Source organism: Homo sapiens, chromosome 8 (genome assembly GCF_000001405.40).
Source record: "Homo sapiens chromosome 8, GRCh38.p14 Primary Assembly".
Taxonomy (NCBI): domain Eukaryota; kingdom Metazoa; phylum Chordata; class Mammalia; order Primates; family Hominidae; genus Homo; species Homo sapiens.
This window is the reverse complement of record NC_000008.11, coordinates 107,148,368-107,170,931: the sequence shown is the minus strand read 5'-3', so window position 1 is coordinate 107,170,931 and position 22,564 is coordinate 107,148,368. Positions and strand designations below refer to the sequence as shown.

Sequence of the window (22,564 nt, the reverse complement as noted above, 5' to 3'; positions counted from 1 at the left end):
TCAACTCATTCAGGGACTATAAAACAAGAATTCGTATAAAAATGTATATAAGGAAGACACATTTCCCTTTTTAAAAGTTCATTCATCCATGACAAAGCTATTAAAAGTAGTTCAAGTTAACAATAAAGAACAAAAGATAATTGTGTGGATCTATGTGGTGGGAAGACCCAGACATGGCAGTCAAGTTAGAATGATGGAGACCCAGACACCAGACAGACCACAAGGATGTCCTCTGGGGACTTATTTGAGTATGAATAAAGAGTAGGAGTTCTACACAGATGTGCCAAAGACTCATGGTAAACAGCTGGCAGACATTCCAGTCAGTGAAGAAAGTGTGGTGCTGGAGAGTGCTGGGGTTAGAAGAGGAGAGGTGTGGCAGGACATGGGAATGGTGCTGGAAAAGAATGGGCAGCCAGCAACACAGAGAAGTTAAGGAAGATACCTGGGAAGTCGGGACCTGGGAGGTGCAGCTGTAGCATATACTAAGGGAGGAGACCACCCCTCATGCCCAGTTTCTGCCTCTAAAGAAAGAAGTAAAAACTAAAAGGCAGAAATGAAATCCACAGGCAGATAGCCCAGTGTGCACCCTGGGCCTGGTAGTTAAAAATCAACCCCTGACCTAACTGCTTGTGTTGTCTGTAGATTCCAGACATTGTATGGAAAAGCATTGTGAAAATCCCTGTCCTGTTCTGTTCTGTTCTAATTACCAGTGCATGCAGCTCTCAGTCACGTACCCCCTGCTTTCTCAATCGATCACGACCCTCTCATGCGGACCCCCTTAGAGTTGTAAGCCCTTAAAAGGGACAGGAATTGCTCACTCGGGGAGCTTAGCTTTTGAAACAAGTCTGCCGAAGCTCCTGGCCGAATAAAGCTTCTTCCTTCTTTAACCCGTTTGACGAGTTTTGTCTGCAATTCGTCCTACTACAGTACCAGGGGAGGTATGTTCAGGAATAAATCTCTGACACATCTGTGGGTCCTGGTCTCAAGAAACTGAGACATTGGAGGGGCTCACAAAGCAAGGATTGCAGCACAAGTGACCCTCCTTCTGATCTGAAAAGGATTCTCAAAAATGAGAAGGGAGAACTCCCCCTTGGCAGCACATATCAGAAACTGATCAGAGTAAAGGCAGTCCATATGCAAAGTATGTAACTCTACCTCCATCCAGCCTCCACTCTACCATAACATGCACTCTTACTGATAGAAAAGCATCTTGTTGTGAAGGTATGTTGGGGCAAATAAAAAATGATGGAATGCTGAAAATCATTGAAATAGGAACTTCGTCATAAAAGAACCAACTTAAGGAGCCTAGTTCATGACTGCAATGTCAGGAATGGATTTGAATTTAGGTCAATCATGATGCTGAGCTGTGAGCACCAGGCAGCTGGGTGTTACAGGAGTATCATGCACCTTAGAGTGAGAGTGGCCAGGGTTCAATTCCCAAGCCATTGCATACCATAAGGCATGTTTTTACATCCACTGACTCTCATTTTTCTACTACTTTAGATCCTCATGACCATATTATTTTTTTAATGTACACAGCACGTTTGCTATACTTTAGCTCTTCAGTGACTTATTCCTTCCACTACCTCCTTCAAAATCTGTCCCTTCCCATCCAGCTGGAAAATGGAGGGAAATGTCTTTACAATCTAATTTTCTAGGGCTGGGGCTCAGACAGAGGATGCCAGAGAAGGCACAATAGAAAGTGAAGAAGAATAAATTGGAAGTTGAGTAGGGAAGTAAGGATCATTAATAAGAGCTCTTGGTGGGGCAGAGGAGGAAGGCTGAGGATGACTTGGGGCCATCCAGTGTAAAACCCAAGAAGCAGGTGCTGTGTGCATGGCCAGAGGTGTTTGTGTTCAGCATTCCCTTTGTGTGTGTTCTCAGGTTCCTGGCCCCCGCTTGCCATCTGTGACAATCATCTCTTTATCCCTCTCTTCTTTAGCTCTCTGAAAAATGAACTGTAGTTTCAAAAAAAAAAAAACCCACAAATATATAATTACAAATCAAGTTAAGTGCTAAGTAAGAAAAATACAGAATGAAATGAGAAAGTATATTAGGGGCCTAATTTAAGTATGGGGGGTTGGATTTGAGAATTGGTGAAATAGAATAAGTAGAAGCTAAACATGTACAAACTAGGAAAAAGGGGGTTTCTAGGCAGAGAGAGGTACAAAAGTTCTATTTTAGCATCACTTGTGTTAATAACTCTAAAAAGCAGTCATCAGTACCCAGAAACCAGCTGGGTTTCAGAATCAAATGATCTATGAATGCTGTGATGCTTACAAATGGAAAAAACAACAATACTTAAATTCCTAAATAACGAGACTAAATCAGCAATATAAAATAAGAAATTAAATCAGTAGTAATTACATGGTTCTAGCCATTTCCATTTTGACCCAAAATGGGAATTTTCCCAGGTCCTAACAGAGGGAAAGGGGAAATAAAAGCTTAGAAATCTTGAAATGTTCCAGGTTGTCTTCCTCACCATTCTGTAAGCTGCCACTGATGCTTAAGAAACTTAGACTCTCTCACATGCTTCCAGAAAAGTTCCAGAAATCTCCTACAGACTATCTCCCATGTGCTTCATGGACTAGGACTCTTGACCTCTTCCATTTTTCCTCCTCTTTCATCGATTCTCTGTCTAAGCAACCTAAAGAAGCAACTCTCCTGCATTCTCATCTCCATTCCTGCTGGGGCTGGCCAGGAACTGACAGGCACCAAAGGGAGGTATTGCCAATCTGCCATAGCTGTCTTGAGACAATTGATTACTTACATCAAGGGCTCTACTGACTGCACCTAGAGTAGCTTCTGTCATTTCTAGAAACTTCTGGCACTATTTCTCATCATTGCTAGAAACTCCTGAAAGTTTATGGTCTCACTGTTTCACGAAGGTTACACTGAAAATTAGACTAGGTTTCACTTATTTCTTTAGTGCTGAATGAGGATTTAGTCCTGAGTCCTTTGGACCTCTGGCAGAAAGACAAGCCCAAATGATCAGCATAATAAATATAAACAAGATGATGCCTTACATATTATTATATGTTTTTCCTTTTGCTTTTCTGAATACAAAATTCACTTACCCGAAGCATCCATTAGCCTCAGGGGACATTTGGATATTATAAAGAGAAAAGCAAAGTAATACTCAACCTCTAAGATCAAAACAGGCTATTGTTAAGAGCAGAGAATTTTCAGATTCCATGGAGGTTTTATCCCCCTTTTAGATTATAACGAGTAAGCCTAGGAACACACTGTGGTGTGGAGAACATGTTCCATCTGGGTTAATTGAATATAAAGAGAAGATGTGATTTGAGAGAAATAAAAGAAATGATCAACACTTTTCAGGTCTAGGAATTTGTGGGAAGGAGAAGAGAAGAGAAAAACAAGAGTGTGAGACGGATATCCTCTCTGAGGAGGAGAAGAGAGAACATTTCAAAAGGGTGAGGGAAACGCTGAAGGCAGAGAAAAGCTATGCCTGTTCCACATGAAGGCCTCTAGAAAGAGGCTACCTCTGAAAAATCCCACAGTCACAAAGCCAGGATGTGGCCACGCACCCAGGCACCACGTGGCAGTCAGACGGAGGAATGCCTCAGAGGTTAATTTTCTGCAACCACTCTGAGTTTTAAAGCAACTGAGATTGTGGCTGGGGAGGTTGTCACACTAGTTTGACAAGAGGACTCGTACCAGGGGTTGCTGAGCAGAGGACAAGTCTGAAGTTTCATGGAGTCAGACCCCTTCAGGGTCTGAACACAGCAGAAGCCAATGCAAGTCTCATTTCCCAGGGCAGACTACTCAGCCTTGACCACGCTGAGAAAGACTCCATTCAGATATTTTGTCAGCTACAGGCTTCAGTGGCAAATGGCAAGACAACTAGCATCACCAGCTGGAGGAAGGATGTTGTCCTAGAGCTGGTCACAGCATGGAGCCTCAGGACCCGGGCCCTTCCCATTAACTGAAGGTTATGTGTGCCATACTCCATTCTTCATGTGCTCAGACTAACATCAGATATTAACTATCATAGGACACTAACATAGGACACTAACTTAGGGAGAGAAAGAGAGACGAAATGATATTTGAATGGCTACATATATTTCAAGAAAGACTGAACTCTTAAAGTAATAGTTATATCAAATATTTATTCTTATAAATGTTTAAGAAGATGGTAAATTGTGTCAGCTCCTTAAGTTGAAGGATCATGCTTTTTTTTTTTTTTCCCATTTTTGTATCCCTTCCCGTAACCATTCCATGGCTCTGCATGTAGAAAGAGCTCAAAAACCACTGTTGAATGAGTTATGAGTAAATAGATAACACTATTTTAACATTTTAATGGTTCACAAAACCCTAAAAAGCAGCAGAGTGTCTTACAGTTTATCCCCTATTTCCATACTTCCCTAACTCAGTGCTCCAGAGATAAATTATCTTGAGAAGAAACCACACTCATACGATTGGATTTCAAAACTTAATGATTTTTTTTCTGTTCCCCAATAATTTTTGTGTTGGGAGGGGGCAATCGCATCAAGTTTGTGAAACTCTGGCTGTAAGAGATTTTCAATCAACACACAGGTTCAGAGGTTGTTGCTTCCAAGGATAATCTCCCAGGGCCTCATTCGACAATACATATTTCCCAACTTCCCCAGGCAGAAGTCCGCAGAAGGCCGCAGAACTCCGCAGAAGGCCGCAGAACTCCGCAGAAGGCCGCAGAACTCCGCAGAAGTCCGCACACAGTAAGGAAGTTGCCTCCGCGTCCAGCCCGCTGATTGAGCAGGCCGAGAGCCAATGCGCAAAGAAGGTCCGTTTCCGTTTGTTTTCCTCATACTTTTCCTTCTTTCTGACCAGTAAGCCACAGAGTTATGGAAAAGGCTGGGGAAGAATCTGTGGCCGAGTCCTTCTTCCCACAGGTCCACTAATTATGGAGAACCAAAGTTTTTTCTTAAAACTGACGGGACAATCGATGAACCTGACCACTGCAGACATGGACTTCCCTAAACTTCAATCTGTGGAGAGAGGCCTCAGAGTCTTCACTCGCTATTTCATTTTCAGGCTCCTTCCAGCAAAATAAAAGTAAAAACAACAGCTATTTGATGGCTCATTGCCTTTGTTTCCCTGGTAGATCCTCAGGGACGTTCCAAGGACATTCTACTTTGAGTGTCATAGAAAAAGCACCAGAATCACAGTCTGATATCTTAAGAGTGACAAGAGACCAGCATTCAAGACTTAGCTTCTGATAATGGTATGTATGGATAAAGCCACTTGCTTCCTGCATGACAATGGCCAGGTTCTTTTACCTCTCTGTGTCTAAATTTCCATCCTTATTTAAAGGAGACCTTGGAGTAGTGTTTGAAATTCTGTATACAGGATTTTATTATTATTATTGTTATTAACTAGATAAAATACCTTGACACTTTGGCCTGAGTTACACTTCTGTTTTTGCAAGAATCGTTTTAGGCGATTTTCTAAATTCGTTTCTTGAATTTACTAGCCTGAATTAGTTAATAAATAAAAACTTTCCTTCACAAGCTATTTGGATACTTTTAAGATAAAATTCATACAGGAAAGGTAGGATAACTATTTTTATTCTTTCCCATTATCACACATTGTATTATCAAAGCCCAGAGAGCTTTATGAATAGAGTTGTTTGTGATTTTTCTCTTTGGAGTTCTGAGTATCTGTCTCTTGTAGATAGCTATGTTTTATGCTAAAAGATGGAGGATGGGCCAGGTGCGGTGGCTAACGCCTGTAATCCCAGCAATCTGGGAGGCAGAGGTGGGCGGGTCACCTGAGGTCAGGAGTTCAAGACCAGCATGGCTAATAGGGTGAAACCTTGTCTCTAGTAAAAATACAAAAAATTAGCTGGGTGTGGTGGCGGGAGCCTGTAATCCCAGCTACTTGGGAGGCTGAGGCAGGGGAATTGCTTGAACCCAGGAGGTGGAGGTTGCAATGAGCCAAGATCGCTCCACTGCACTCCAGTCTGGGCAATGCACTGCTTGGTGCATATTGGTTGTATTCAGCCAAAAAAAGGTATTTTCTGGAACTAGCCTTGGTCCAATTACTAATTTTTTGAATTTTGTAAAAGCTATATTAATCAAAGGACTCTCATGCTGTATAATGGAAAAATTCTTCCTAGACAATAACAATATATTCAGAAAATCCAGGTAGTCTCAATAAGAGAAATAAAGTGTTAATGAAGAATAATAATAATGAGATATTAAGATGGTAGCTCGAAAATAGGGACTTCAGATTAAGAAATGTCTTGAGAAAGAGGTTTACAACACGTATTCAGAAATATATATGACAAAGTGATTAAACAAAATTATTTCCACAAATTTGCACTAAGAGAACAAAATAGATGTCAATTTATTTAAAATTATATAGGTGTTAGAGGGAGGGCATGATTTTATGTATTTTAACACAAGCATGCTATTTATGTTTTTTGAAATACTAGCTTTTATATACTCTAAATCAGCCGTCCCCAACCTTTTTTGCACCAGGAGCTGGTTTCATGGAAGACAAGTTTTCTATGGAGGGACAGGTGGCAGAGGGGACGGTTTTGGGATGAAACAGTTCCACCTCAGGTCATCAGGCATTAGCTCTCAAAAGGAGCATGCAACCTACATCCCTCACATGCACAGTTCACAATAGGGTTTGCGCTCCTATGAGAATCGAATGCCACCGCTGATCTGACAGGAGGTGGAGCTCAGGCAGTAATGCTCTCTCACCCAACACTCACCTCCTGCTGTGCAGTCTGGTTCCTAACAGGCCACGAACCGTCTCTGGACCACGGCCTCAGGGTTGGGGACCCCTCCCTGCTCTAAATATACTCCTCTATTCTTATCAATAGCCACTTGGCAAACCAAGTATACTTGTATTAAGTTCTCAATTATCTCTATGTTAGCAACCTCCGACATCTATACTCAGGTCAAACAAGTACCAACATCTAACAGAAATCAATAAAGAACATGACATGTGGAACCATTGCTTTTTCGGTTACAGGTGATTATGTTCAGAAAAGAATGCAATAATTCCTTTAATGTTAACTCTACTTAAATGTCTGTTTTCCACCTTTGTGTCTTGCCAGAAGCACAATAATCATTCCAGACCTGAGCTATGTAATAAAGGTCTGGGAATAGTTTACTTGCTTGATCTGTTCCTCATACTAAGACATAGAACATGTGTTATTCCACCCTCTGGGGCCAGTATTCGTAACTCTTCCTAGGTCTCCACAGAGTCACATGCTCTGAAATACAGAAATACAAATAATAATAAGATATTATTTCACCTATGGCTCAACCTGTTATTCAAAGAAGCCAGTTAAACTTTTCATTTGAAGTTAAGTTTTTAAAAATGCTTTGTTGGAAAATAATGCAGAAAGTGCATTTGTATTTTAAATTTCTAAAACAATTACCAAAGTATCAGAAGTTTACAGCTTGATAGTAATCCTCAAACAAAAATCAACTGGAGAGGGGTGGTTAGGAATCAAATGATTACATTTTAAAATGCAACAAGGGAGGTGATGAAAGCATATTAATAATGAAAAAAAAGTAAAACACTAACAGATGTGGAATATTGTACAAAGTCCAAATTCAATAGACATCCATGTAGAAAATAACCATGAAAATGAAAAACTAAAAGAAATTTCCTGAGGTGGTTTTAGTTTGAATTCAAGTAGGCTGGGCTTAGTTAAATTTCCCTAAAATTTTCCATTTCCCTGTCAACCTGGATGACTGATAAATAGATCTTAAATGCACAGATAAGCATATCACCCAGTGAGTGGGTAGAAGTATGGACTGGAAATAAAAGGTGAGACATTCTCCCGGTGCTAGGAGATACATAATGTATACATTACGTTCCACAATGTTCTCTTGAAAATGCAAAAGCTGATTCTTCTGGATACTTCTCTGTGAACAATAGTCATGAGAATGGACTTCCTGAGTTTCTTTCCTCACCCTCACCCCCACCCCAGGTCCAGGCCAATTTTGTCTATACATAATCTACCAAGCCAGTGATTTTCCTGGAATTATCACTTGGGTTTCAGAGTCAATTACTACAGTTCTCACAAGGTCACTCCACCCAAAGAGCCTAGATTGTTCTTCAGGAGTTTGCTATACCTCCAGGGTTCTCATGTGATCTGTCCTCAGTCTCACTCACCAAGCTCAATCGGTGAAACTCTGCTATCCCACAGCTACACTGGATTTCGAAAGGTCTTTTCAAAAGCACACAAGCTCTTTCCTGATCCTGCCCTTTCTCTCTGCCTGAAATGTTTTCCCTCAGGTTCTTTGCATGTTTGAAGTGGTCTTATTCTTCAGATCTCTGCCTAAATACAACTCTTGAAGGTCTTCCTGAACACTAGGTAAAGTGTTTATATTTTACGTAGAAAGGAACTGGTCTCCATTACTATCTGTAACAGCAACCCTTTACTCTCCTGGTTATTACTGTTCACTTGTTTACTGTTGGTTTTCCTCACCAGAATGTAGCTGGGCAGGGAAAAGTTCTGTCTCATTTATTATTGTTTCCCTACTGCCTAGCCCACCTGCAACATAAGCCTCAGAATAATGTTATTAAATAATAGAAGAATGAAAAGTTTTTATAGTGAAATGGAAAGATAGAAGGAGGGTAATTAGCCATTCTAACGGGGGTAACACTATATTGCGGTTTTGATTTGCATCTTCCTGATGATTAGTGATGTTGAACATTTTTCATATACCTTTTGGCCATTTGTATATTTTCCTTTGAGAAATGTCTATATGGATCCTTTGCCCACTTTTTAATGGGGTTGTTTGGTTTTTTGCTTTTGAGTTCCTTGCGTATTCTGGCTATTACTATTAATCCCTTGTCTGATGAATATTTTGCAAACATTTTCTATCATTTAACAGGCTGTTTCTTCACGCTGTTAATTGTTTCCTTTGCTGTGCAAAAGCATTTTAGTTTAATATGGTCCCATTTGTCTTTTTTTTTTTTTTTGGTCTGTGCTTTTGGGGACTTACTTATAAAATCTTTGCCTATATAAATGTCCTAGAATATTTCTCTCGTGTTTTCTTCTAGTAATTTTTTAGTTTTAGGTCAAGGACTATTATCAAAAAGATGAAAATATAACAAATGCTGTCAAAAATGCAGAGAAAAGGGAACTTATACACTATTGGTGAAAATGCAAAATTAGTACAGCCATTATGGAAAATAGTATAGAGACTTCTCAATAAAATAAAACTAGAACTACCTTACAATGCAGCAGTCTCACTACTGAGTACACAAAGGAAAGGAAATCTGTATATCAAAGGGATACACATACCCCATGTTTATTGCAGCACTATTCACAATAGCAAAGATATGTAATTAACCTAAGTGTCCATCAACGGATGAATAAAGAAAATGTGGTATATTTATAGAATGAAATATGACTTAGTCATAAAAAAAAGAAACCATGTTATTTGCAGCAACATGAAGGGAATTAGAGGTCATTATGTTCAGTGAAATCAGCCAGATACAGAAAGACAAATATTGCATGTACTCACTCATGTGGGAGCTAACAAAGTGGATCTCATGGAGGTAGAGAGTAGAATGACAGTTACCGGGGGCTGGCAAGTATGTGGGTATGTGTGTGGGAAGATGGAGAATATAGTTTGGTTAATGGGTACAAACATACAGTTCAATAGAAGAAAAAAATTGTGATGCTCAATAATAGAGTTGGGTGAATATAGTTAACAACAATGTGTTATATATTTCAAAATAGCTATAAGTGAGGGCTTGAAATGTTCTCAACACATAGAAATAATACATGCTAATGGTGATGGATATGATTAATATCCTGACTTGATCATTACATTCTATACATGTAACAAAATGTTACATGCAACCCATAAATATGTACAAATATTATCCATCAATGAAAAAAGATGGAAGAAGGAGAGAGGTTCATGTAGATGGTGAAGAAGATGAGAGTATTAGAATTAGGGTGAGAAGTTGCTTATTTCCTGTGACTCTTTCTAAACCCTGTGGTTTTCCCCAGAATCTATGTGGACAATATGAAATTGTTCTTAAGTGTATCCCTGGACCCTTTGGGGATGCAACAATGAGGTCTGACTTCAAGAAGAAAATGAAAATCAGAGGGAAATAGCCAAAATACCACAAAAACAAGTCTTCAGATACTCTAGAGGGACTAATAGAGTCTCTGGATGCACTCCTGCTAGTTACCTTAGCTATTTACCCTGTCTGTAATTTGGGAAATTGAGTATTGCTAGAAGATAAATTTTAAACATCTTAAATGCATTAAATTGTTAACTAAAAAGACAAAAATTAGGATAAGATTTGTTAGAAAAAGGCAAAAGACAGTAAAACGAATGCTTATTATATTCATAGTATGAAATCATTGAGAACAGTGTAAGATTAGAGACATACATGTGAGAAGGTGAGTAACATTAAGAATCAGAGCAAGAATGCAGCCGAGAATAACCCTGCAGTCATCCTTAGTCAGATGCCCTCCGTGGGGACAAAATGCCTACCGTCACCTTGTTGGTTGGTTCAGGAGTTCAGTGACCTTCAGTTAAGCTGTATTGATGTAATGTGCTGGTGAGAATAGATGTTTGCACTTCTACTGAGGATGGAGCAGCTTTTTCCTGATGTTTACTGTAGAACTTGGATTGTAAAACATCAGCAATGAAGAGGGAACAGACAACTTAAGCTTTTTCCCGTAAGCACTCACTCGTCTCTCACTTGTCCCTGCCAAGGGCTCCAAGTCAATCTGCATTGAGCAGAGAGCTGAAACCCTGCTGAGTTGACAGCTGCTGCTGGCCTGGAGCCCACTGTGGACCTGAGGAGAATAATGCTCCCCACTTCACTCAGGGCTCAAAATAAAGCTGAATCACCACTTTGGAGATACACAATGTGTCCTCCTGGGGAGGACTGAGGTCTTTGCCTATGATCTTCTTGGGTCACACAATAATAGCAGCCTTCTGAAAATACGTTAAACACGCCACGAACTGAATCACTTCAGTTCACCAATTTGCATTATTTTCCTGTTTCCTATGCAATGAAGAACTCATGGACTTTCCAAAATTACTTTTGCTTCTCCACTCATTTCAGAAAGTTGAGGATAACTTTCCAGACCTTGAAAAATATTTATAAAATAATGTTTTCTAAAGAAATCATAGAGAACTCTTAGACCTGTGGTCCAAAGTAGTGGGACATGCAGGCTCAAGGGCCATCCATTGTCAGGCATTCCTGCATTTCTTTTCCTTTTATGTCCCAAAGTGATGGCAGAACTTTAAGAAATAGATTTGAAATATATTTTGACAAATGATTAGAAAAGAAATTTGTCAACTAGATAAAGGATGAAGCCATCCATTCGAGAATACCGAAATAATAAAATTACAAGGGTTTCCTGGGATACTGTTCCTGAAAATTCATCTTCCTTTTTGACAAAGCATTCTTAAACAAATATAATTATTCACCATATACAAAAGCTATGTGTCATCAGAAACAATTTATGAAGCAGTAGAAGGTTGTATGTGGCAATATATTAAACACTTCTCAAATACATATGCAGCAGGGGTTTTTTAATATGCAAATAATTTAAGTTCTCTATTAATCATCTCATGAATTTCAGAGAAAAATGGATACCATATAAATGGTGTGGAAGAACTGGAAGATGCTGAAACACCTCATTAACACATCTAAGAAACTGGAGCACATTTTAATCATGTGTGTTTTTAATAGCCTAGTTATTTAAAAATTGGTAAACTACTTCTGTTTTTAACAGAGGGATTCAGATGAACTAGAATATTCCCTTTCCATTTTTAAAATCATTCATTTCCTACTATGTCCCAGGCACTATGCTAAGCACTAGGCATATAGGAATTAAAAAGCTGGGTATGGTGGCTCACATCTGTAATCCCAGCATTTTGGGAGGCTGAGGTGGACAGATCCCTTGAGTTCAGGAGTTCGAGACCAGCCTGGGCAACATGATGAAACCCCATCTTTACCAAAAATACAAAAAATTAGCATGTTGTGTTGGCATGTGCCTATGGTCACAGCTACTCAGGAGTCTGAGGTGGGTGGATCACTTGAGCCTGTGAGGCGGAGGTTGCAGTGACCCAAGATCACACCACTACATTCCAGCCTGGGTGACAGAGCAAGACCCTGTCTCAAATAAATTAATAAATAAATAAAAATTTTTAAAAAGAAATTTAAAAGAGAAAAGAGCCATGCCTTCGTACAACTAATTATCAAAGGAAGTAGATTGATTTTCATATTTAATGATATAATTATGTCTATGAAAAGTTTCCCTCAAATGAAAATAAGTGGCACTAAAAGAGCTTATAACAGGATATCCTGACTTAGTTTGTAAAATCAAAGAAAAATTTTTTGAGGAAGTGATGTTAATCTGAAATACGAAGTGTGGATAATATTAGATACAGAGCATTCTAGGGAAAGAAACAGCATGTGTGAAAGACATGAGATGGGAAAAAGCTTAGCAAGTTGAATAACTAAAAGAGCCAAAGTGGCTGGAAGCTCAAAAGCAAGGGGGAGGGTAAAGGGAGAGGAAGGTATTAATGTAAGCAGGATCTTTCAAAAATTTTTATGTAAAAAATTTGAAATTTATCTTAAGAGTCAATGGGAAAGTTTGATGTATTCGATACATCAGAATGCTATGTATTTTTAAAGATCAATTTTTTTGCTATTTTAAAAAATGAATTGAAGAGAAAACAAAGATGTACGTAGAGAGATGCATTCAGCAGCTATTGCAAAAGTTCCAAAGCACAAGAATAGTAGCATAAAGTTGGCTAGTAGAATCAGTGGAAATGAAAAAAAGTAGATGGATCTGCAATGTAAAGGAGAACACTTGATTTATCTGGTACAGAGTGGAGTTCAGTAAATATTTGTTAAATGAATGACTGATTTATTTTGCATTTAGGAAAAGAGAAGAATCAGGCATACCTCTTCCACTGGTTTAACTGAGAACTTATTATGCATAAAGGTGTTTTCTATTCAAAGAGTTTTCCACAGACCAGCAACATCAGCTTCATTTGATACCTTGGTAGAAATGCAGAATCTCTGGCCCTCCTCTCAGAACTGCTAGGAATGTGGCTGTTAATGAGATCCCTCGATGATTCGTGTGCACGTTAAAGTTTGAAGAGTGCTCTCAGGTAGAGCAACATTGAGGCTCAGACACACAGTTGAAACCAAAAGAAGGAAATGCAGAGTGTATTTAAATTATACATGGATTGAAGATAACAGCCTATTAAAGATAGACTTTAGTACATAATTCGGTGAATCTTTTATGGAAACTTGTCACCAAATTTGCCAAATTGAATTTTCAAAATCGAAAAGTCACAAAACAATGCTTGTGATAAGACGATTTCTCTGCCTAAATGAGTAATAATAATTGTAATGACAAGGGTTACATTGTGTTTTATCATTAGTGTGTGTGTGTATATATATTTTTTCTGTTAGGGGAATTTATATGAAAGAGAAAAACCTGTACAAGTAGGGGGAAGGAAAGACTATTGTATAGTATGTGCAAACAAATGTTAAAATTCTTAATTATACCTAGGTATTTTGACAGAGGCTAACTTAAGAAAACATAGATACTAAAGCTCAACATAATCATATCATAAAATCTATAACCCATGTGTATAAGAAAAATTATGTCATGCTGTTTATACAGAACAAGCACAGAAACACTGGAATATAGAAAAGATGTGTCCAGGATTGCTGTATCAATATGAATCTTGATAGGAGGAAAATGCCAAAAATAGTTCTAAGTTGCACTCTAACCCAAAGTTCCATGCAACCAAGATTACTAGCCTGCTTACCATTATGCACTAGATTAGTTCCATATATCCCCAAAGTGGAGGGGGCGGAGGGGGAAGCCACAATATTACATCTATCCTTTATATATTGCCAAAAATAGACAAGGTTCAATTGTGCTCAATGGCTCCAGAGGTTACAGAACATCATTCTTTTCTAAAGTTCCAGCTGGCAGGTAGTTCCCCTACTCTCACCTGCTCCTTTGTTTTTTTTGTATTCATGCACATGACAGTGGAGTAAACAATTCGGCCTGTGTCATCATGTCAATATTGTGGTCAGAAAAAAAAGGCACAGGACAATTATTAGATCAACAATTGAATAATTCAAGGTGGTCACTTAATATTAAAATCAAGTATATAACTTGAAAAGGGCAAAGAGAGGAGCAACAAGAAAGTTACAAGGTATAAATGTTTGACCTACAAAGAAAGAATGAAAATGATGACTTGCCTTGACCTTGGAAACAGGAGGCTGGAGGAAGAAATGAGAAGCCTAAGAATATATGGCAGGCTTTAAAGGTGGAGGCACTAGCCCTTGGTCAATAGGGCAACAGAACAACACGATGGAAATGGCCACAACAGAAGTTTAGGATAAACCTGAAAGGGTGAGAAAGCCCTAGCATAATGGTTAATACAGGACTTTGGATTTTAATATCCCTGGACTTAAATTCTGGCTCTGCCAGGTTAAGACAAAACTGACCAGAAAACTGTAGAAATAGAGAAACTATGAATTGTTGTTTTTGTAATAAAGAGGGTGAGAGAGTGGGGTTTAGATTATTTAATGTCTTTGTAGTGAAGATTGAAACATATAATCTTAATCTCTGGTTTGTAATTCCTGTCAATTACTTGCTAAACTTTTTTTTAAATTTTGTGCCTTTTCTCTCTCTTTTTTTTTTTTTGTTTTTTTTGTTTGTTTGTTTGTTTGTTTTTAAGTCACACTGCCAGGGTTTGAATATTTACTAGTTACTTACTCTCTTGAAGTTTGGGGTCTCATACTCATATAAATAATAATAGTACCTATGTTGTATGGTTTTCAAAGAATTAAATGATGCCTTCTGGACTGCTTGGGACATAGTAAATATGCAATAAATGTTAGGTCTTTTTATTATTATTCCTGGCTTGTACACAGGACTAAGTACCTATGAAGAATTCAGAGATGAATCAGATAATGAACCCAACCCTAAGAGCTTTTAGAATCAAGTAGGGAAAATAAGACATGCAGGCAAGTGACCATAATAAAGACTAAATCTGCCTCAAGAGAGATACAGGTAAAATAAGATGGGCATTTAAAGGAGAGAACTGACTTTAAAAGAGAGAGGAGGATATGGGAGGAATTTGTGGAGAAGGTGGTTTTCGAACTGGATTTCAAAAGACAAAAAGTTTCACTGACTAAAGATGGGAGTGGCACAGAGTAGTGGGAAAATAGTGAGATAATGCATTGCTTCATAAGGGAATAGGACAAGTATTCATTTTGCAAGGTTTTCAGATTCTAATACTGACTTGAAGATATGTTTCAACAAATTTTCCTTTTAAGATATTCTAACACTATGCTAAACTTTCAGTAGTAACTTGGCCTGCACATACCAGTCCCAAAAGCTGTGACACCTGGTTTGTTAAAGAAACAACAGGCATTTCAATGAAATGCCGAGGCCTCACATGGGGTATAACCCTTATGAGTTGTCATTGTGATTCCATTGTTGAACTTGCTTCCAAGTTTTATTTCATCATCCATATTTGTGCTAGAACAGTAGTTTATTCATAATTGTTAAAAGAGAAACCTCAAATAATCTAAACAACCTACTTAGATCCCAAATACAAAACTCAAAGTGCATCTTTTTGGAACAAATGTTCTATTTCACATTTTGATTCGAAAAGTGTAGAAAATCATGAACATCAATAAGTTAAAGATGTTAGAAAGGAATGGATTCATTTTCTAAGTCACATAGAAAATTTATTGGGACGAAAATACTAGGGGAAACATTCTTGGCAAAAATATATTCATGATTTTTCTTCAGGCCATTAATTTGGAAACTTTTGCATAACTGTGAGGGAATGACTCTTGGGACTCCCAGACATAGCTTTCTCTCCTCTCCTCCCATCACCCCTGCCCCAGCTTATGAATATGGTTTTTAATAATATACATTTACATACATATATATCTGTTGTATTTGTACATTTCAATAAAAACACGAATTGTGTAGCATGAGGACTTAAATTCTCAGCTCCACCAAGGGGGCGTTGCCTTCTGAAACTTTGTTGACATTCAGTGGGTCAGAATTAGATACCAAGAAGGAAGGACGCCATCACTTCACCAACTTGACCCAATCAATTCAGACCAGCTGAGAGCAAAACAGAAGCAAATACAGATTAAACTAGCTCACCCCAGGGAACGTTCACATCCTTGGCTGAGGTGTCCAAATGGATCAATAATATGCTTTCCTGACCTACATATAATGGTAAAAAATTGAACTCAGGTTCACAAAGAAACTGTTAACTTTGGCTATAGCAATGGCATTTCCCCCTTCTTTGGAATGTATTGAACTAATGTTTCTTCTGAATCATAAATTCCTCAAAATTAAATCTAATGCAAAATCACATTTCCTATAAGAAAAAATCAAATTTGCAGTTTCATCAGAACTGAAATACATGGACTCGAGTTCAATGTGGAAGGAATCCCCTGCTTGGGCTGTGTTTCTACTAATGATATTATAGTGCCCTCTCTCCTTACTTCTGAGACACTATTTTATTTTTATTTTTATTTTTTTTAATAAAGGAAGGAGTTCAAAGAATGTCTTAAGAGAATAATGCCCAGATTTGTGGGCAATATTATGTCTTGGGAAACACATTTTGTTGTAAACATTTTTTTTTAATTCTTCTTAGAGGTAGGCTGTGTATTGTGGGAAATGGAGGGCCTCCTCTCATCTGTGCACCATATGAACTGATAGTTGAACAGCTGTGGTATATACACACATTTATGCACATATTAAAAGTGATCGCTACATCTGAACCTACATTCTCTAAGGAAAACCACATTGAGAATCATCACATTGTAGCAGCTTACCGAAGCTTATCTATCTTAGGTGAGGACAAAACCCTTCACTGGGGAGTTTATTTTACAAAATTATCGATGAATTCTAATTTCTAGGTCATGAGAAATGCCATGTACTGAGAAAGGAATGCTTTGCCTATATTTGTCAAACAGAAGATAGAGTGCTTTTTTTTAAATGCGTGATTACAGGAAGGCAGCATGGTACAGAGGAAAGAACGTGAGCTTCACAGTCAGAAATAGCTAGGTTTGTATCTTAGCTCTACCACTTACAAGAGTCCTGGTTTTGAGTATGTTATTTCTCTAAGTTTCAGTTTCATAAATGTCTGTGGTAGAAATGATAATGCATATCTTGCAAGCTAATTGTGGAGGAATAGATAAGATCATTTTTGTATCCCGAACAGTTTCTAGACTTCTCAAAATCATAGGCACTGTTGGAATCTTACTCTTACTGATAGGAATAATGCAGACCTTAGTGTTTTTTGCCCAGTCCCTCATAATGGAGGATTTACAGTCTAGCCAAGTTTCACCCAGTTATTTCTTGACATTACTAGATAAATCACCCCAACAGTATTTACTACCCCAATGCTTTCCTTTGCAACGTTCTCTGAGCCTGAAAGCTTTCCTGTGCCAACACTGCTGTTGCAGGTCATGAGAAGGCCAATAGATGTTCTAGGAATGTTGGCTTCCAGAGCTGCCCAAATGGAACACCCTCAAGGTGTTTGAGCCACCACCTTCCCCTAAATCCTGTCTGCACTGAAGCCGGGATGAGGCCTACTCAGAAGTGAGAAGAGAGTCTGTCTCTTACTCTGTGGCACACTATGTCATCTGAGACCCAAATGTACTTGTGCCACCCTGGTTTTCAGAGTAACTCACACAATCAGTTTCTTCACCTTTTGCCTACAGCTTCCCTCCCCACAAAGCTCAGAGTGATAGAAGCCACAGAGATCTGCTGTGTGATCTTGAGCAAGTTACTTAACTTTTCTGTACCTTGGTATCCTGCCATATAAAATAAGCATTATACTAATAGGTACTCAGTAGAATTGCTGTTATGACCATATGCTTCAAGTATACAAAACATACATTGTAAGTATTGCATAAGTGTTAGTGGTTAGCAGAACTTTTACCCTCAGAAGTATTCTAGAATGTAGGCCCTGGGAATAAGAAGAAATTGTTGGAAGAATTATATAACGAGTGAAACCATTTAATTGAAATATGAAAAGGAGAAGTGATTAATGCTGTGCCCCAAACTGGTACAGTTATCTCTAATCAGATGATACTGTTTCAAAACAAATAAGTATTCTAGGAACGTAGAGGAAAAATTAACTTGTCCTGTGAACCTAAGTCTATTGACTGTATAAGAGGAAAGGAAGAAAATTCATACTGGAGTTAGTGTCTTCAAAAACCTGGAAAAATTTAAGTGATTTAAAAAGAAGAGAAGAGGAGATGGTAAAACTAGATTAATGGTATGTCATGACTATGGAGATGGCAAGGAAACCAGGTATATTTGAAAACAGTGAGTGGTACACAGGATAATGGAAATGAAAAATATGGGCATTCCAGTTGGAAAAATAAGCTGGGTGTAGGGATAGCATTGAATGGCATGTTCAGAAGTTTAAATTTACTCTTCAAGCAATGAAGAAACACCAAAATTTTTGTAAATAGAACCCTTGACCATTTTAACATTTTCAAAGAATGCTCACTTTCAAACATGATGCTTGAAAACCCTCAAATTGCCTTTTATGTTCTAAATTTACCTGTGTTTTTGTTGGTAGGGCAAGCTGTGTAATTTGCAGGTGTGTCAGCATCTTAGCACAAATTTTTAAATTGTATGTTTTATTGCGTTTTACCTATATTATACCAACAGAAAATAAAGTGCTGATATAGGTGAGAAGTGAAGACCTCATGAACTGAATAAACTTTGAGATAAAGATGGAAATCATCACATAGAGACTGTTAACCTTCAATTTGTTACTCATTGAACCTAAGCCTGTTGACTGCATGAGTAATTAGGAATGAAGAGAACAAAGTCAAAGAACATATGTGAAATGCTAATTACAAACTTTTAAGACAATATCTAAAAGGTGAAAGGTAATTAGAAGTTTGGATCAATTTTTTGTACTCCAGGAGTTTTTTCTTATGTAATTTCACTGGTGGCTTGCACATATTTGCCTTTGGTAAGTTTTCAGGAATATTGTTATGTAAGAAAACAGGGGACTATTTGAAACTGATGTTTTGAAAAGATAACTTGGATAATCCTGTGGGTAAGGGAGGAAAGCTTTGCTATAGCTCAAATTAAAGATGATGGAGACCTAAGGCAAAAGCGGAGAGCATGAACGGAGGTTCCACAGCAGCTGCTCAAGAGAAGAGAAAGGAAGGCCAGAAAAGAAAGGAAATTGGATGACAGAATATCATCTAACTTTCTCTAAGATATTTCATGAAGTTTGTATAAGCCTGACGTCAATACCACACAAAGACAAACAAAAAGGAAAATTATATCTTGAACTGTGTGTACATAGACAGAAAAGTTCTAAGAACATATTGGCAAACCAAAGATAACAATGCATAAAAAATCATGACCACATTGGATTTATTCCAGCAGTGAAATGATGGTTCAATATTAAAAAGACATTAATATACATTACCACATTAACATACTTTTTAAAAGACATCATTATTTCAACTTGTGGAGAAAAGGACTTTAAGTTCAGTGCCCATTAATGATATTTATGATAAAACCTTTAGCAAAATAAGAAAAATGACTTAACCTGGTATATCAGTGTTGTTCTAATCAGGAAAGGAAAACCATACAGCAATATGAATAGGGAAAGTTTAATAAAAAGATTTTTTTAAGTAAAACATGATATTAGAGTGGGTGAGGAATTAGCTACAGCAAGTATAAAATGCACTACTACCACTAGGGCTGAGATACAGTACCCAAAGAAGACCCTCTCCCCATTCCAGGTCCAGAACTTCTTGGAGTGGGAGATGGTAGAGAAGTTACTATGGTGCCATGCCACTGGAATTTGATGAAAATCTGCCCTCAGGAAGTTGCAAGAAACCTACTCTGGGATTTTGAGGGAAAACTGTTCATACAGTAGTATCTTCCTGGAAGAACTGTGCAATGAAACAATAGGAGAGAGATGCCAGTGGAAGCTGCTGTTCACTGGTGGCTTCTACTCTCCATGGCCTCTGGTTGCCTAGTGCTGAAGAAGCAGTTTGTGTTATAGGAGCTGGACATTGGGGAAGCTGCCCATTCCTGATCTTGGAGAAGCTGTAAGTGCTTCAAGAGCAGATGCTAGAGGAGCTGCCTGTGCTGTAGGGGCTGGGCAGTGGACAATCCATATGAGCAAGAGCATGCATGGTTACCACCCCAAAGTCAGGAAAGAAAACCCTTTCCTCTTGCAGTCTCTCTCTACAACCCACTACTGGCAAAGTTTAACATTATGCCAGCTGTCAAAGGAAAAATCTTAAAGGGCCCATTTCCATTTACACAGGCAGGCAACAAAGAGTGTATTTGGAGTGAAGAGGCAATAATTTGATACGTAGTGCAGCTAGTAATAGAAATCAGCCAAAAAATATAGCATATGGAGCAACTATTATAATTTTGCAATATTTAAAAATATTTCTTTTTAAATCAAGAACAGGACACAGATTCTAGCTATTATTTCTTCAACATTCAACTGAAAGATCTAGCCAGTAAAATAAAATAAAAATGAAACAAAACATATAAGCATTGAAATCAAAGCAAACAAAAGGATTATATTTTCATGAAAAACATAAGAGACTACAGATAAATAATTAAAATTTACATCATTTTTAACCTGGGCTGCCAGACTATGAGCTCATATTTTTAATCGTCTTTGTATGTTGTCCCCTTAAATTCTCAAAGACAAGTGTGCCCAAGCCAGTGGCTCATGCAAGTTCAACATTCAACAAATATCCATTGAGCACTTGTTAAGGGTTAGGCAATCTAAGTTGTTGGAAAAACAGCACTAACAAGATAAGCAAAGTCCTTCCTGTCTTCAACTTATATTCAGATAGGAGAAGTTCTGTGAGGAAAGTAAAACAGGGTAATCTACTAAGGGTGCCTTGGTGAGCTTAGCAAAAATTCTTCTTCCAACAAATCAACTCAACAATGGAGCACTAACACAAGTCTCATGAGTTTAAGTACTGATTACAAAACTAAATTTGATAAAACATCTTTGCTCAATGCACACTCCAGCCCATCGATTTCAGGGTTAATTAATGCCTAATGGGCTCTTGAATAAGTTCAGTTTGAAACCTTGGTGTACCATTTACTATTCATTAGCTATTCATGACACCTCTGAAATGGAGATAACATATATATATATATCTCAATAAATAACTATGTATAATCACATATGATGGTTATCAAGACTGAATGAAACTAAAGTGCTGGGCATCATGGTTGGCAAGCAGCATTCAATACATATTGAAGATAATGGTGATAATTTTAACTTTATTAAAAATATATTATCATTTAATATAAAATATTAATATAAATATTTTATTTTTATTAAAAGCCATATATCTTAAGTTATCCTATCAAATGCAGTCAATCAAATGGCATACCTATATGATAGTTACTGAGCTGAGTGAATAAATTTGTTGGTCTATATCCATCTAAGATCTAAAGGGCTCTTCTGTTAAAGAAATCATTAGCTAGGGAAACAGAGTTCTACATGTTTCTCACCATTGGGTGTAGGCAGTCCAGATTTAGTGAAAACACATTTGTGGGCAAGCTTACATAGAATCGTAGTTTAGATTTACACAAACCTATACATTTTCAAAGCATGTTATGATTATTTACCATGTTGTTATGACAAAGAGCCAAAGCTATAAGTCAGCATTGTATGGGAAATGCTTACAATTACATACAAAGAAGAAAGTAAAGGTGTTTATAGAAGCTTTAAGTAAAAACAAAAAAAAGCAGGAAATTCTGTGTAGTATTTTTATTTTTGATGAATTGTTTAATCTTTTGAAGTGATCACTTTGGGTGAGTTGTGTAATCAAGATTGGTGATGTTAGCTTGCAAGTCTTTTGCCAGTAGCAGATAGCAGGGATCTGGTATTGATGTCAAAAATAAAAGAAGAAAGGGAGAGAGAGGTAGCAAGGGAAGCAGAAAGGCTTAGAAGGAGGATGAGAGAGAGAGAGAGAGAGAGAGAGAGAGAGAGAGAGAGAGAGAGATCTCCAGTTGTCATAGTGATTCATTTTGTGTTTTCTATTTAAAGCTGTTTGCTAAGGCATTATTATAAATGCAATTCTCTGCTTTTCCTTCTCATTCTCCAGATTGTCTTTCATTCACCTTTCTTACCCTACTTTTTCTGTATCTTGTGACTCTTCTCAAAGTCAGGTTTCTTCTGTTGGGTCTAACATTTTGTTTATTTTCTATTTGTTAATAGAAAATAATGATCCATTCAGGTCAGCAGAGGAACCGAATAACAATGTTATGTCCTTTTCCCTTATAACAAAACTAAAGTTTTGTATAGGAGAAGGCATTAAGTAAATTTTCTAAGAAGTTTGCTTTTAATGGAAGGAATAGTATGGAGATTATTTTTCTGTTATTAATCTTCAGAAAGAGGCTACAGTAATATTCTCAATACCACCTTAGAGATTTCTCTAGCCTGAAGCACTATTATATATAAAATATAGAATCATAGAATTGTTAGTGGATCTATGTCATTTTTCATCTATCTAGGAGGTC

At 37.7% G+C, this 22,564-nt stretch overlaps 1 long non-coding RNA gene across 1 annotated transcript, besides 1 other annotated feature; it reads left to right on the top strand.

Moving 5' to 3' along the window:
- The first annotated feature begins 4,574 nt into the window (after nt 1-4,574).
- LOC105375701 (uncharacterized) lies at nt 4,575-5,071 on the top strand. Its single transcript, XR_928525.3, has 2 exons — nt 4,575-4,783; nt 4,893-5,071. It is a non-coding gene; the product is annotated as an uncharacterized LOC105375701 (long non-coding RNA).
- Nucleotides 10,845-11,045: a silencer, noted in NCBI's record as "peak7140 fragment used in MPRA reporter construct". NCBI's record gives its function as "represses an SCP1 promoter by STARR-seq MPRAs in K562 erythroleukemia cells {active_cell/tissue: K562}" and the evidence as "EXISTENCE:reporter gene assay evidence [ECO:0000049][PMID:32103011]".